The 13935-nt window shown below is 44.4% G+C and overlaps 1 protein-coding gene across 5 annotated transcripts in view, besides 3 other annotated features; it reads left to right on the top strand.

The window, feature by feature from the left end:
- The window catches only part of ADAM12 (ADAM metallopeptidase domain 12), a 376087-nt gene that overhangs the window by 225410 nt on the left and 136742 nt on the right, over window positions 1-13935 (top strand). For 3 of the 5 annotated variants that reach the window (NM_001288973.2, NM_001288975.2, NM_001288974.2), the window contains exon 4: window positions 7763-7841. In NM_001288973.2, the coding sequence (NP_001275902.1) occupies window positions 7763-7841 (79 nt within the window). Of the gene's footprint in view, window positions 1-7762; window positions 7851-13935 lie in introns of all 5 variants that reach the window. The other 2 variants (NM_003474.6, NM_021641.5) reach the window with 1 other exon arrangement.
- Window positions 224-724: an enhancer, noted in NCBI's record as "H3K4me1 hESC enhancer chr10:127850913-127851413 (GRCh37/hg19 assembly coordinates)". NCBI's record gives its function as "activates a minimal SCP1, AML or CMV promoter by ChIP-STARR-seq in naive H9 embryonic stem cells {active_cell/tissue: H9 hESC(naive)}" and the evidence as "EXISTENCE:reporter gene assay evidence [ECO:0000049][PMID:30033119]".
- Window positions 4822-5322: an enhancer, noted in NCBI's record as "H3K4me1 hESC enhancer chr10:127846315-127846815 (GRCh37/hg19 assembly coordinates)". NCBI's record gives its function as "activates a minimal SCP1, AML or CMV promoter by ChIP-STARR-seq in naive H9 embryonic stem cells {active_cell/tissue: H9 hESC(naive)}" and the evidence as "EXISTENCE:reporter gene assay evidence [ECO:0000049][PMID:30033119]".
- Window positions 5323-5823: an enhancer, noted in NCBI's record as "H3K4me1 hESC enhancer chr10:127845814-127846314 (GRCh37/hg19 assembly coordinates)". NCBI's record gives its function as "activates a minimal SCP1, AML or CMV promoter by ChIP-STARR-seq in naive H9 embryonic stem cells {active_cell/tissue: H9 hESC(naive)}" and the evidence as "EXISTENCE:reporter gene assay evidence [ECO:0000049][PMID:30033119]".

Below are 13935 nucleotides of genomic sequence, written 5' to 3'. Positions count from 1 at the left end.
GAAACATGTACCTCGTATGATGAAAGCGGGAGAAAGTGAGAGGAAGGGGTGGGAGGAGGAGGTGCCACATGCTTTTAATTGACCAGATCTTGCAAAAACTCATTCTTACGAAGACAGCACCAAGCCATCAAGGATCCGCCCCCACAATCCAAACACCTCCTACCAGACCCCACCTCCAGCTTTGGGGATTACAATTCAATGTGAGATTTGAGTGGGGACAAGTATCTAAACTACATCCATGGCTAAGACTGAACTCATGTCTCTTCTCTCCTTTATGAGTGACCCATCTCTGTTGACATCACGCAAGAGTCCTCAGTCTGTTACGCAGTTCCTGATTCTGGGCCCCCCTGAATTTCCCATCCAGTTGTGTCCTGGCCTGGTGCTCTGTATGGACGCTCACACCAGCCTCCTTGCTAACCTTCCTGGAGCCTGTATTTTTCTCTTTCCCCTCCAAGTCTCATCTGTGTGGCTGTCAGAACCACCTGTGGCTCTGAAGCTTGTGTCTGCTCAGGTCCCTTCCGTGTTTGGCGGCTCTGCATGGCACAGGATAAAGTCAGCAGCATTGGGCAGCATGTAGGTTCTGTCCCCAGCCTGCCTGTCTCAGCAGCAGCGGGTCTCCCTGCCTCAGGCCCTGCGCCCTGACCACCTGGCATCCGTGTCATTTCCCCTCCCCTCTGCGCGTTGCCCGCTAGCATGCTGTTTCTGCACCCCCATGCCTTTGAGGATGCAGTCCCCTCTCGCTGGAATGCTCTCCTCCCCATTTCCCATTCCTCTCCTCACCTTTTCCCCACCAGCGCAGCTCATTCTTCCCCATCTTTCCCGGCTCCCTTGGGCACCCCCTCCCCAGGCTGACTTCTGGGTTGGAAGCCTTTCCTGGGGCTCCAGCAGTGCTTTGGGCGTGTCCCTGTCATGGAGCCCTGACCACTCTGGGTCTGTGTCCTTCAGCAGTGGGGCCTCCTGGAGCATCTTATTCCCATTGTGCAGCATGCTAGATATTGTTTAAATGAGAGAATATTTAGGTGTCACGTGTCATCCCACAACAAACGGCAAATAGCAAAATCAACTCCTGGCACAGTTAAAATGCATTTTACTTCCTGGTATTGAGAGAAGCAGAGTGCCTTGTTAGATCGCCTAATCTAATAAGCAGAGAAAAAGAATGTTCTCATGAAATTATGCATTCACCTTCTGTTTTCATTTGCTGACGTAAGATAGTCCATCTAATTGGATTTTCTCTTTGGGGAAATCTGCAGGCTCCAAGGCCATTGCTGTCACATTTCCAATACTGCCATTGTCCATCCACCCCCCTTAGTTCTCTCCAGGGGACTTTGACTCCCGGCCCCTTTTAAATTAGGCACACATCTTAGAAAACCTCCATCCAGCGCCTTCTCAGTTTCATCCATGCTCCCTGGCAAGTCATGGTGCTGGAGAAAGATGTGGGACGTGTATCACCCAGGAAGGAGCAGAAAGCCCGAAGCAAAAGGGGCAGTGCCTGCCGCATGCTCCTCAAATTCACTTATTCTTTCACGTATTCATCTGCTCAACATGTAATGTATTCAGCACTTAGCACAGCACCTGCAGCAAACACTCCGTCAATATTGCTTGACCATCCTGTAAGGTCTGGTAGCGCCACACAGTGGTTAAGAGCACAAATTCTAAAGCAAAACCACCCGGACACTGTCATGGATGGCATGACCTTGGGCAGGTCATTTGACCCTGCTGTGTCTTGGTTTCCTCTTTTAAATAGGGATTAAAAAAATAATATCCATGGGCCAGATAATATATGGATTAAATGAGATATCAGGGGCTCAGCACAGTACCTGGACCAGGGTGTGTTTAGCAGCTATTAATGCTTACAGCCAGGAGGAGGTGCAGGCTCTCTGCAGGGCTGGAAGTGAGGGAATACAGCGATGACCAAGGAGCCCTCCTGTGGCTCACATTCTTGAAGGTAGAGATAAATAAGTAAGGAGACGCATAAACAAAATAGGAATACCAGGCAGAAAACCAAAGGAGGACTGCGATGGGGGCTAATAGTGGTGATGGGGCTGCTTTAGATAAGAGATCAGGAAAGGACCCTCTGGAGAGACAACACTGAAACCAAGAGCAGAAGGATGAAAAGGTGCTGGCTACATGAAAAGCCATGTAAAGAATGTTCCAGACACGGGCACAGCAGGTGCAATGGCCCTCAGAGGGAGAGGATCTGGAATGTTCTAGAACCAACCAGAGGCCAGTGTTGGCTAGAGTAGCATGAGCTAGAGGGAAAAGTGAGCACAGTGTGGTGGCAGGGTGGGCAGCATGAGGTTGCAAGCACCTCGGAGGCCATCGGGAGGCGTTGGGATTTCACCCCAGGGCCAACAAGAAGACACTAAAGAGTTTTAGCAGGGACAGCAGCATGATCTCCAAGCAGGACCTGAGGAAGTCAGAGCAGGGAGCAGGGGCACACAAAGCCCTGCATGGTGGGTTCATTCCCAAGGGTGTGGAGCGCATGACACCTGGAGTCTTGGCTGCAGAAGCACAGATTCCTGGAAGGGAGAGCTGGGAAGGAGTTCCGATATCAGGTCATATTGCTTCTCTCCATCTCTCATTCAAACCCCTGAAAGAAAACCAAGGAAGCTGCCTGTTTTTCCAGCTCATAGCACTGGGGCTGATCAACAGAAAGCCCATCTTCAGTTTGGGGCTTTTTTTTGGAGAGGGGGGAGTTGGTATTTATTTAGGTATTTAGCTATTTAAATGGACATATCATTGCGTGTTTTTGTTGGGCACACCATGTTGTTTTGAAGGAGATAGTTGAATCTAGCTAATAAACAAATGTATTACCTCCCAGTTACCATTTTTGTGGTGAGCGCACGTAACATTCACCGCCTGCATTTTGCAAGACTCTGTTGTATGCTGAGCATGAATTTTTGCTGGCTTTCCTCCTGTTCCTGTCTTCCCCTTCCCCTTCCCCTCTCTTGTCTTCAAAATATCTTGAGAAGATACAATGTACACAAGTGGTATGACTGCATCTTATCTGTAAATCAACATTTCTTTTCCAGACTGCATAAGAAAAACTCGAAAAGGAACATATCATTTAGTGCCTCAGCAGCAGTGGGACATGGTCAGGGCTGTAAGCACAAGCCCCTGTTCCACTCTCCTTAGACAAGAGAAGACATAACACAGTGCTTAAGAACTCTCCAGAGCTCCAAGCATGACTGTGGTTGTATTTCTGCTTAGCTCCAATGACACTTGGATGATGATGAGGAGCAGTGGGTAGTTTTAGGGCTTTGTATTGCTGTTCTGAGTCACATTTCAAAACCTTCTAATTAATTTTACTGCTGTTTAACCCTAAAATTACTCTGTCCTCCAGTTTGCTGACAGTTGTCTATCAAAAGCTCGTTTTCTCTAATCCCCAGCTTTCCTGATGGACTTTTCTCTCCCTCATACGTAAAATGACTTTTCTCCTTGGCCATCTGTCCAAACCAGCTTTCAGTTAAGCCTGGTCAGAAGCCTTCGAATGATGTATCTTTGTTCTACAAATGTCTGCACCCATCACTCCCCTTAATATTAGGTATCTATATACCTTGTTCATTCAAATAAGATTTCAACATTGTTAAGACCTGAATTGCTAAAATATTAATAAAGGATGTGATAGAAGTACAAGTACATAGTAAATAATATATGTAATAATTAATATAACTTAATCTACATTAAATTCTTCCTTTCCTTTCTCTGTAATATTTAAGCTGGTCAAGTGTGCTCCTTTTTTTTTTTTTTTTTTTTTTTTGATGGAGTCTCGCTCTGTTGCCCAGGCTGGAGTGCAGTGGCATGATCTCGGCTCACTGCAAGCTCTGCCTCCCAGGTTCACGCCATTCTCCTGCCTCAGCCTCCTGAGTAGTTGGGACCACAGGCACCCACCACCGTGCCCGGCTAATTTTTTTGTATTTTTAGTAGAGACGGGGTTTCACCGTATTAGCCAGAATGGTCTCGATCTCCTGACCTCGTGATCTGCCCGCCTTGGCCTCCCAAAGTGCTGGGATTACAGGCGTGAGCCACTGTGCCCAGCCGTGTGCTCTTTTTTAAGACTATTGAGGCCACTATGGGTTCTGGCTCAGTAGAGAATAGGCTGTGTGCATCCTTAGCTGCATCTTCCATGCTCTGTGCATCCCCCCTCCATGCTCTGTGCATCCTCCCCACCATGCTCTGTGCATCCTCTCCCCATGCTCTGCGCACCCTCCCCACCGTGCTCTGTGCATCTACTCCCCGTGCTCTGCGCATCCTCCCCACCGTGCTGTGTGCATCCCCACTCCATGCTCTGCTCATCCTCCCACCCGTGCTCTGTGCATCCCCACCCCCATGCTCTCCGAATCCTCCCCACCATGCTCTGTGCATCCTCTCCCTGTGCTCTGTGCATCCTCTCCCCGTGCTCTGTGCATCCCCCAACCCATGCTCTGTGCATCCCCGCCCCATGCTCTCTGCATCCTCCCCGCCTCTGCTCTCTGCATCCCCACCCCCGGCTCTGTGCATCCCTGCCCCATGCTCTGTGCATCCTCCCCGTGCTCTGTGCATCCTCCCCGTGCTCTGTGCATCCTCTCTCCGTGCTCTGTGCATCCTCTCCCCATGCTCTGTGCATTCTCTCCCCGTGCTCTGTGCATCCTCCCCGTGCTCTGTGCATCCTCTCTCCGTGCTCTGTGCATCCTCTCCCCATGCTCTGTGCATCTTCCCATGCTCTGTGCATCCCTCATGCTCTGTGCATCCTCCCCTCCATGCTCTGTGCCTCCCCCTGTGCTCTGTGCCTCCTCTCCCGGTGCTCTGTGCATTCTCTCCCTGTGCTCTGTGCTTTCTCCCGTGCTGTGTGCATTACCCCGTGCTCTGCAGATATGTCCTGTGTTGTGTGTATCCCTCTGTGCTCTGCATCCTTCTGCCTGTTCCTCTGCAGCTTCACCCATGTCCCCTCTCAGCCCCATCCCTCCAGTTATTCCCCTCAAGTCCCCGTCTCTGGTTTTCACATCCCGCCTCTCTGCTTCCCTTTGGAACTGTGCTGTGGAACATTCGTTCACCTCGCCTGTCACCTTGACCTGGGCTCACCTGCTGCATCTCCATTGTCAAGGTCACCAGACTCCTCCACCATCCTGGAGCTCTCTACCTATGACTAAGGACTACCCCTTCTTCACACTCTTCTCTTCAGGGCCCTGTCACCTTCCCACTGCCTTGCCTGCTCTCCTTCCCCTCTTCCTCTCCTTTGCTCATGACTGCGTGACAGGGCCAGGGTGCCCTGTGAATGAGCCTGCCCAGGCAGCCCCTCTGGCAGCTCAGAGGAGGTGAGCTTAGAAGACAGGGGTTTCAGAGCTCAACGCTGCCAAGGAGGGCAACTTTCTCTGGCACGACATGTGCACTGCTGAGGAGAGTGAGGGGCAGCACTTGGGAGGCCCACGTGCCTTTGCCAGTGAGTGTGAGGGCCCGTCTGTGTTTTATGTTTTCCGCACACTCTCTCAAACACTCGCTGTTAAGTAGACTGCAGCGGAGACCTGCCATCGGGGTCTAACTGATTTAAGCCAGGCATATCCTCAACATATTGCAATCCATGTAAAACAAGGAGCTGACTCTCAGTTCTGAACTTGGCTGGGAGCAGGTCTAAGAACTCTGACTGTGTAAGGAAGTGCTTCTCATCTCTGACATTTGCATATTCCCGCTGCTTTTCCTTCCCTGCCATACTGATCAGGACTCTGGTTGCAAAACCCAGCTCCAGCCAGCGTAGGCAGAAGAGAGGGACTTATGAGGAGGAGGAGAGGCGGAGCAGGCCCCATGGGCAACAGGTCCATCTCCCTCTCCCTGCCTTTTGTCCCTGCCTGAGGGTGACAGCTTTGTTCTCTCTGACTAGCTTTCTCCTGAAGTAAGGGACCAGGATGGAGGTGGTGGCCACATTCTCAGAGCCTTGAGAACAGAGAAGAAAGACGTCATCCCCAGACATCCCAGCTCAACATGCTGTAGGGAAGATTTGTGATGGGCTTAGCTTGGGTCACATGTTCATCTCTGGATCAAGAGTGGAGGAGCACCCCCCCACACACACACACACAAAACCAAACGGTGTGAAGAGTGGAGAGTGTCTTCCTCTGAAGACAGGAAAGGGCAGGCAGCACCTTCACCATCCACAAAGTTCAGTATTTAAAGCAACTCTTGACTCCCTGTTGTCCAGACACAGAAAACCCAGGTTCTGTTTAGAGCCTTTCTCTGTCTTCCACCAGCCCAGCTCCCCAGACTCCAGGCCTTTCAGGCCCTGACCTTGACATTATCTGCCAGGATTTCCCCTCTCCTTCCACCCTGTCCTGGGCCTGGCCGACTCCTGCTCCATCGTTAGGGCCCAGTAGTTGTCGGATCCCTACGCAAAGCCTTTCCCTTGCAGGATGCTCCACCCAAAGCACATCCACGCACCCAGAAGTGTTACTGCTGGAGGATGTCCAGGTTCTTGGTGTTTTGAACAAAGAATTGGACAAAATGCACAAACAAAACAAGGAAAGAATGAAGCAACAGAAGCAGAGATTTATTGAAAATGAAATTACGCTCCTCAGGGTGTGAGGGGGCCCAAGCATAGGTGCTCAAGATCCCCGTTACAGAATTTTCTGGGATTTAAATACCCTCTAGAGGTTTCCATTGGTTACTTCGTGTGCGCCCTATGTAAATGAAGGGGATGAGGTAAAGTTACAAAGTCATTTAATCGCTGTACGCCCTATGTAAATGGAGAGGATATTTCCTGTCATAGCTGAAGTGTTTCCGTTTGACTTAGTTCTAGAAAGTCAGCATGAATCGACCTTTGTTCCCTGCCTCCAGACCTTACTCTCCTGCCTCAGAAGGACTCTGTTTCTACTCTGTGATCGCTCCCTTCACACTGGATTCTGTGTCAACCATCACCCTACCAGCTCGTGGTGTCATCAAGATGGGGGCTGTTCCTATTTGTCTTTGTATCCCAGCAGCTAGCACCTGGCAGCGGTAGTTACACAGGAAATACTTCCTGTGGTTGTGTTGAACAGGATAAAATAGTGCATGTTATGTAAGACATTGGAAAATAATTTAAAATCTAAGTAACCCATGCTTTGCAATCTTTAATGAAGTTCTGGTAGACTGCATACAGTTTTATTAATAGCATAAACGGGGTTTCCTCCCCCTTTCAATTTATCTTAGAAATTCAATATTTCAGGATGTGCAAAATCATTTTTCCTCACCTCATACATACATTGCTGCTTTTAGCATTTCATTGCTGTTCTATTCTCTTCTGTGACATTTCAATATTTTCAGCCGGTTCTCTCACCTGCGGGGGAGCCAGCAGGGGCACTGCTGTGGATCAGAATGATTTTCCCAGCAGGTGGTTCAACCATTGATTCCAGTTGGTGGAGACTGTGACTTCCAAGCAGGAGATTTTCCCAAATTGGAAATCTGCCTGTACTATTCATGGAAGAGTATATGTGTGTGACAAATGTGTGCCTTTGCAAGTGTGTGCACCCAGTGTGCGCATGAAGGAATGAGGTGGGAGGAAGGGAGAGAGGGAGGGTTCCACATTGAGTGTGTGGGCTATTGTTCCGAGGATGCATATCTGACTCTGTTGTCTGAGTCTCCTCTGAATTCTCCCCGGAGAACCTAAACTGGGAAGGCCCTAATGGGAGCTTCCTTGGATTATCTGTTAAAAAAAAAAAAAGGAGGTCACAATCTTGCTACCCTATAGCCTAGACATTCACAACAATGTATCAATGCAATTCTGCACTCATCTTTTTATGGTGTTTTTGTTTTTCCGCAGAGGTCTCATTGCCAGCAGTTTCACGGAAACCCACTATCTGCAAGACGGTACTGATGTCTCCCTCGCTCGAAATTACACGGTAATTCTGGCACGTTGGGATCACCATAATCTTACACCACTGGATCTGTGCTTAACCTTTGTAGCCATTTTATTCGGAGCAAAATCACATGCCCAGATTCTTAACTTAGGCCCCCCCAAGAAGCGCTGGTGTGTCCCTTAGTGGTAGGCGTTCTATTATAAATCCAAAACAGCAGCCTTGGCCAGGTATGTGCACAGACAGCCCCTGAGGGAATGGCTTTATGGCAGAGCTGAACCTTGAAACCACCTTCCAAGGACTATGGATCCTCATTTGGGCAAATCCTTTTTAGAAAACCTAGCCAGTTAGAGATGGCTTGGAAGGCAGCCTTGCCTGAACTGAACTTGGCTACATTAAACTCTGAGGTGCCTTAAAGAACTTTAAAAGAAAACTGATTCTGCTTAACCTATTCTGAATGTATCCACAATGTGGATACGATTCTATATCGTGGGTGTTACTGTAACATGACATTTATCCCCTCTCAGGCAGTGTTTCTGGTATTTGAACTTTTAGCTGTGTCCTGGACAAAATGCTCACTTCATTTGTTGCTTTAACAAATGTTTACTGTGTACTCTCCATGATCTGTCCCACATGTGAATATGGGGATTCAGAGAGAATAGGACAGAGTCACTGCCCTCTGGGAAGGAGGAAGGTTACTTGTTTTAAAGAGCTGTGGGTATTTTAAAAAGGATGAGCTTGAGGCAGGCTTTATGCTTCTCCCTTATCACTGAAGGTTGTCAAGTAGCCATTACTGTCTGCAGTGATTCCTCCCTTCTCTGCATGACACCAACACTTTTCTTTATCACTTGTTTGACACTTGGCACTTGCAAGCTGATACCTGCAGCCTTCCAGGAACTTGGTGGAATGAGCTGCTGTAGCTCTCCCAGCCCAAAGAAAACACATGGAAATCCAGGATAAAATATAAACATTTAAGAATTTTTGCTAATGCCTGGTCAAGCTCAAAAGAGAGTCAGCAAAATCCCCAAGAGGCAGAAACAAAGAGGGGATGTTATTCCTGAGCACTGGCTGGTGAGTTGGGGCTCCCCAAAGGACTATTCAAAGACCCAAAGGGCTATTCAAGACCCAGAAAGAGGGCCTGGTGCTTGGGTTTGGAAAAAGAGAAGTAACCGCCTGCAACTGAGAATCCCACAAAAGCCAGATCCCCAGGAGAGCTGCTTTCCTCTGTGAAAAAGAGACAAAAAGAACTCTTCCAATCCAGGGATGGGGGCTGGGAGGAAGAATTGTTTGCCAGGTGTCTTGGATTGAAAAAAGACTTCATAAAAAATGAAGACATTGAAACCCCAGTTAGTCTCATGTGTGGATGTTGGGAATAGTCTGGGCCTGTGTCCAAATTTTTAATACCAGCGTAGGAATGGAATTCCCAGTCAAGATATTGACCTCAAAACTGGTCCCACATCAGTGAAACTCCCATGGGCCCAGACATAAGCCAACCCAAAATAGTTCTGTAGGAATATTTCTATAACCCAGATAACATGAGATGCCCTCATGGAAGAAAAAGTAATAAAAATATTAAAGATGAGCCCCAAATCAAAATTACAAGCCACACAATGCAAAAAGCCGTTGTACGCAAGCATCAGCAGACAAGAGAAACAAGAATTAGGACTTCTGAGAACATAAGAGATAATGGAAAAATCAGAGAAAAAAAATTAAAGAGAACAGAATGGGTCTAATAGAAATTCCACAATGAAAATACATAAAATTTAAAAACACACACAGGAAACAAGCCGTGTTTAATCAGAGTGTGACGAGCCTGTCCCTGAATTGAGGAAAGACATGAGTCTTGAGGAAAATCCACCAAGGAGGTGGATAACTTGGAATAACTAAACTAAACATACTCCAGGACAGCTGCTGATGAAAATGCAGAACACCAAGGATGAACTCTTAAAACCACTTGAGGCAAAAGAGAGATTTGTACAAAATAATGACAACTAAACCAACAATAAACTTTTCATTAGTAACTATGCAATTAAAACTTGAGAGCTAAGGGAAAATTATTGTCAGTCTCAATCCTATATTCATTAATTATTTTGTAAGAATAAAAATGAAATAGACATTTTCATACAAAGATGAGAGAAATTACTACCCTCAGATTCCAACGAAGGTATCTACCAAAGGGTAACTAACAAAGAATAGCTCAGTAGGAAGGAAACTGATCACCAGCAGCAAGGACAGGAAGTCAGAGGCACTAGTAAACAAAATAATGCATGTGAATAAATTTAAATAAGCTTCTTAAAATGACTGTTGCAACAGTGACCAAATTTGGATGGTTTAAAACCAGATGAGCTAATAGATTTAAAATGGTTTAAGAATTTGTATTGTACTGGAGAATAATAGACACGCTGATTAACTTTAGATTTTGATAAGAGTGTGTCCTGCAATTTTAAGTATAACTATTTAAAGAGTAGAAAAACATAAAATAGCAAGATAAAAATGAGTCAACATATTAATCTCATTATATGTAAATAGATGGAATCTCTTTGTAAAAATGAAAACATGATCTGCTTAGAATTTAAAATAAAATCCAGCTACATCATTTTTACAGGATTCACACCCAAAATATAAAATGGTTGTGAGAACTAAGAAAAGGAATGGGAAAAGATATTGTAGACAAATCTTAATTAAAAAAAAAGCAAAACAAAACAAAAAAAAAGCTGCTGTAGTGGTAACATCAGAGAAGCTAGACCTTAAGGCAAAAATGACATTAATAGGCATAAAGGGAGTAATTCTGTAATGATAAAAGGAGCAACTTAGAAAGGTAGTAAAAGAATTTTGAAACTGTATATGCTAGCAAAATTGTCTCAAAATATATAAAGTGATAAATGGCAGAATCCAGATGTAACTTTTAAATCTAATTATAGATTCATCTAGAACTAAGCTTTAGCCCAGCTCCTAATTAAAGGATTTCTGAAAATCCGAAACAAAACAAAAAAGCATTAAAGATTAGACATTATGGGCTAAAACTTGTTTGGTTCCTAGAAGGTTACCAAAAAAGCTTTCAATACTGACAGCATTTTACAATTTTTCCTCAAAAGAAAAGTCTCTAGATGTAAAATTGATAAGCTTAATTCATAAAGCAAGTCACTGAAAATGTCTGGACACATTCACAGAGTGGGAGATTTAAATATACCTCTCTCAGAAATGAAGATTTTTTAAATGAGCAGAAATTAATGAAAAGGAAGACCAAAAAAAAAAAAAAAAAACTCAAGAGGGAAGATGAATTAAACCAAAAGCTGGTGCTTTGAAAATATTCATAAAATGGACAAGACATTTATAAAATTAAGAAAGAAAGAATTCCCAAGTAAATAATATTAAGAATGCAAAGAGGGATATAAATATTTTTATTCAGAGATTTTTTAAATCACAAGAATGTTGTGAACAATACTAATTATTTCTTAGAAATGTAAAATTATTAACACTGGATCAAGGTGAAAGAGGAAAATTTAAATATAACTATATAAAGATATTAAATTTGTAATAGTACTTTTAATATTTACTGACAAAAATAAGCTCAGACTCAAATGATTTAGCTGGTGAGTTTTAACTAACATATAAGAAACAAATAGTTCCTGAGAAAAAAAGAATAATTTTTTTAAAGGAGGGTGTGGAAGGAGCTTCTAAAACAAGAAAAAGAGCATGCACAAAATGAATCCTACAGACTAGTTTCAATTATGGACGTAGTTGCAAAAATCCTAAGTAAATTTTACAAACCCTATCCAGTACATATTTTAAAAATACTTCTGACCAAATTATACTCAACTGAGGAATGCAAGGATAGTTCAACATTAGTATATCTACTAAGGTAATTTAATCCATTAATATCTTCAGATTAAAAGTATTATAACTGATAGTATTTCTTCTGTGATAACCTATACTGTTTCTTATAGTGATTTTAATAGCTTTTGTGAGTGGAGAATGCTATCTATCCCTTTCCTAACCCCATAGAGCCTCACATAGCATCTTGCATATAATAGATTTTTAATAAAATTATCCATCTAGCATTGCATTGTCTTAGGTGATGCCATGTAAAATTCATTTCTTCATCTATTCACTCAGCAAACATTTATTTAGCACCTCCTGTTTGCAGACACTGTTAGGCTATGGGGAGATAGGCTGACTAAAATATATTCCTCAGCATATAAATCCTGCTTAAGAGGCACAGAGCATTTTAAAGACATTTAAAAAACATGTTTTAATGTAATTACTATAATAGGAGATGTGTACAAAATACCACTGTGGTATTTTAATTGTGGCTGATTTTAATTCTTTGGACGCCATTTCACTAAGGAAGTAACATTAATCTGGGTCTTTAAAAGTGGGCAAAGAAGAAGACCAAGATGGGGATGAAACCTTTCCATACTAAAGAGTTTCAACTTTACCTATTGAAATTTGGGAGTCATAGGAAGTTCTCATGCAGCAGAATGGCCTGTTCAGTTCTGTGATTTAGAAAGGGTCTCTGATGACAGAATGGAAGAAAGATTGGTAGGAATATTGGTAGACAGAAGACAGGAAGATTTCTTATGGGCCCATTGTAGTTAGTGAAAATTTTGCCTACAGAACTGGGCCTTGGAATGGTCAGCAATTGGCCAGAGTCAAGAGTCCTTGGGAAGTCAAAGGAGACAGGATCAGGGGATAGAGGGTGGGGGAGGTGTCATCAGTGGGACTTTCCCTTCCACTTAGGCCATTGGATGGGCAATTTGTTTCTCAGTGGTACCATTAAGGAGCAGTTGTTGGTTGGAAGGCAGAGGAGATGAGTCTTGGTTTGTCTGTGTTGAGTTTGTCATAGGACAGCCAAGTAAAGGTCTTCTGTAGGCAGATGGATATATAAGAACCTAGAGTACAGAGAAAGATGGAGTCCTAAAGTAAAGATCTGTGGATCAACGTCATAAATAAGTGATGGGCAGGGCCATGAGTTCACATTTGACGTTTATGTCCTCTTTTACCTCCCTAAGATCTCATTTAAAATATGTTTTCAGACTCAGCACTGAGGCTATCTCCACAGTGTAAATAGTTATTTCAGAAAGAAACAGAAAAGAGAGATCTTAGAAATACCACAACAATAGGCTCCGGTCTTCCAAATGTCCACGATCTATGATGGTGAACAGTGCTTGTCTAATACAGACATCTCTAGAATGTGTAAAATATGCATTCAAAGTTATTTGAATAGTTTTGTGCATTCTGTTACAATCTCCCTTACTAGTTTTCTTTTTCTTAGGCATCTGTATTAGTATTAGTCAGGGTTCTCTTGAAGGACAGAACTAATAGGACAGATGTATATATGAAGGGGAGTTTGTTAAGGAGTACAGACTCACACGATCACAAGGTAAGGCCTCACAATAGGCCATCTGCAAGTTGAGGAGCAAGGAAGCCAATCCAAGTCCCAAAACCTCAAAAGTAGGGAAGCCGATGGTGCAGCCTTCAGTCTGTGGCTGAAGGCCCGAGAACCCCTGGCAAACCATTGGTGTAGGTCCAAGAGTCCAAAAGCTGAAGAACTTGAAGTCCGATGTTCAAGGGCAGGAAACATTCAGCACGGGAGAAAGGTAAAGGCCAGAAAACTCAGCCAGTCTAGTCTTTCCACATTCCTCTGCCTACTTTATTCTAGCCGCGCTGGCAGCTGATTAGATGGTGCCCACCCAGATTGAGGACGGGTGGGCCTCTCCCAGTCCACTGACTCAAATGTTAATCTCCTTTGGCAACACCCTCACAGACACACCCAGGAATAATACTTTGCATCCTTCAATCCAATCAAGTTGACACTCAATATTTACTATCACAGTACTTTTTCCCCTTCTTTCTCACTTGGGAGGAAAAATGCAATAAGCAAGAAGACGAAGAAATAGAGGACTAGAGAAACAGGGGTTCAACAACTGCCAGGTCTGTTTGGGACTTGGATTGCAAAAGCTGAAGTCTACATATCCAGGCATCTTAGTAAACAGCCCGGATGGAAGGGCTCCAGGGCGTTGATAGTGTTTGTCTCCATGTGGTGCGGGACTCTGTGCTTTTCTGGGTTCTCTGATTCACATGTGCACAGGAGCAGGAGCTCACATTTTTCCTCTCCTCCTTTTCCATGTGGTTACTG

Source organism: Homo sapiens, chromosome 10 (genome assembly GCF_000001405.40).
Source record: "Homo sapiens chromosome 10, GRCh38.p14 Primary Assembly".
Classification (NCBI taxonomy): Eukaryota; Metazoa; Chordata; class Mammalia; order Primates; family Hominidae; genus Homo; species Homo sapiens.
This window is presented reverse-complemented; position numbering and strand designations above follow the sequence as displayed.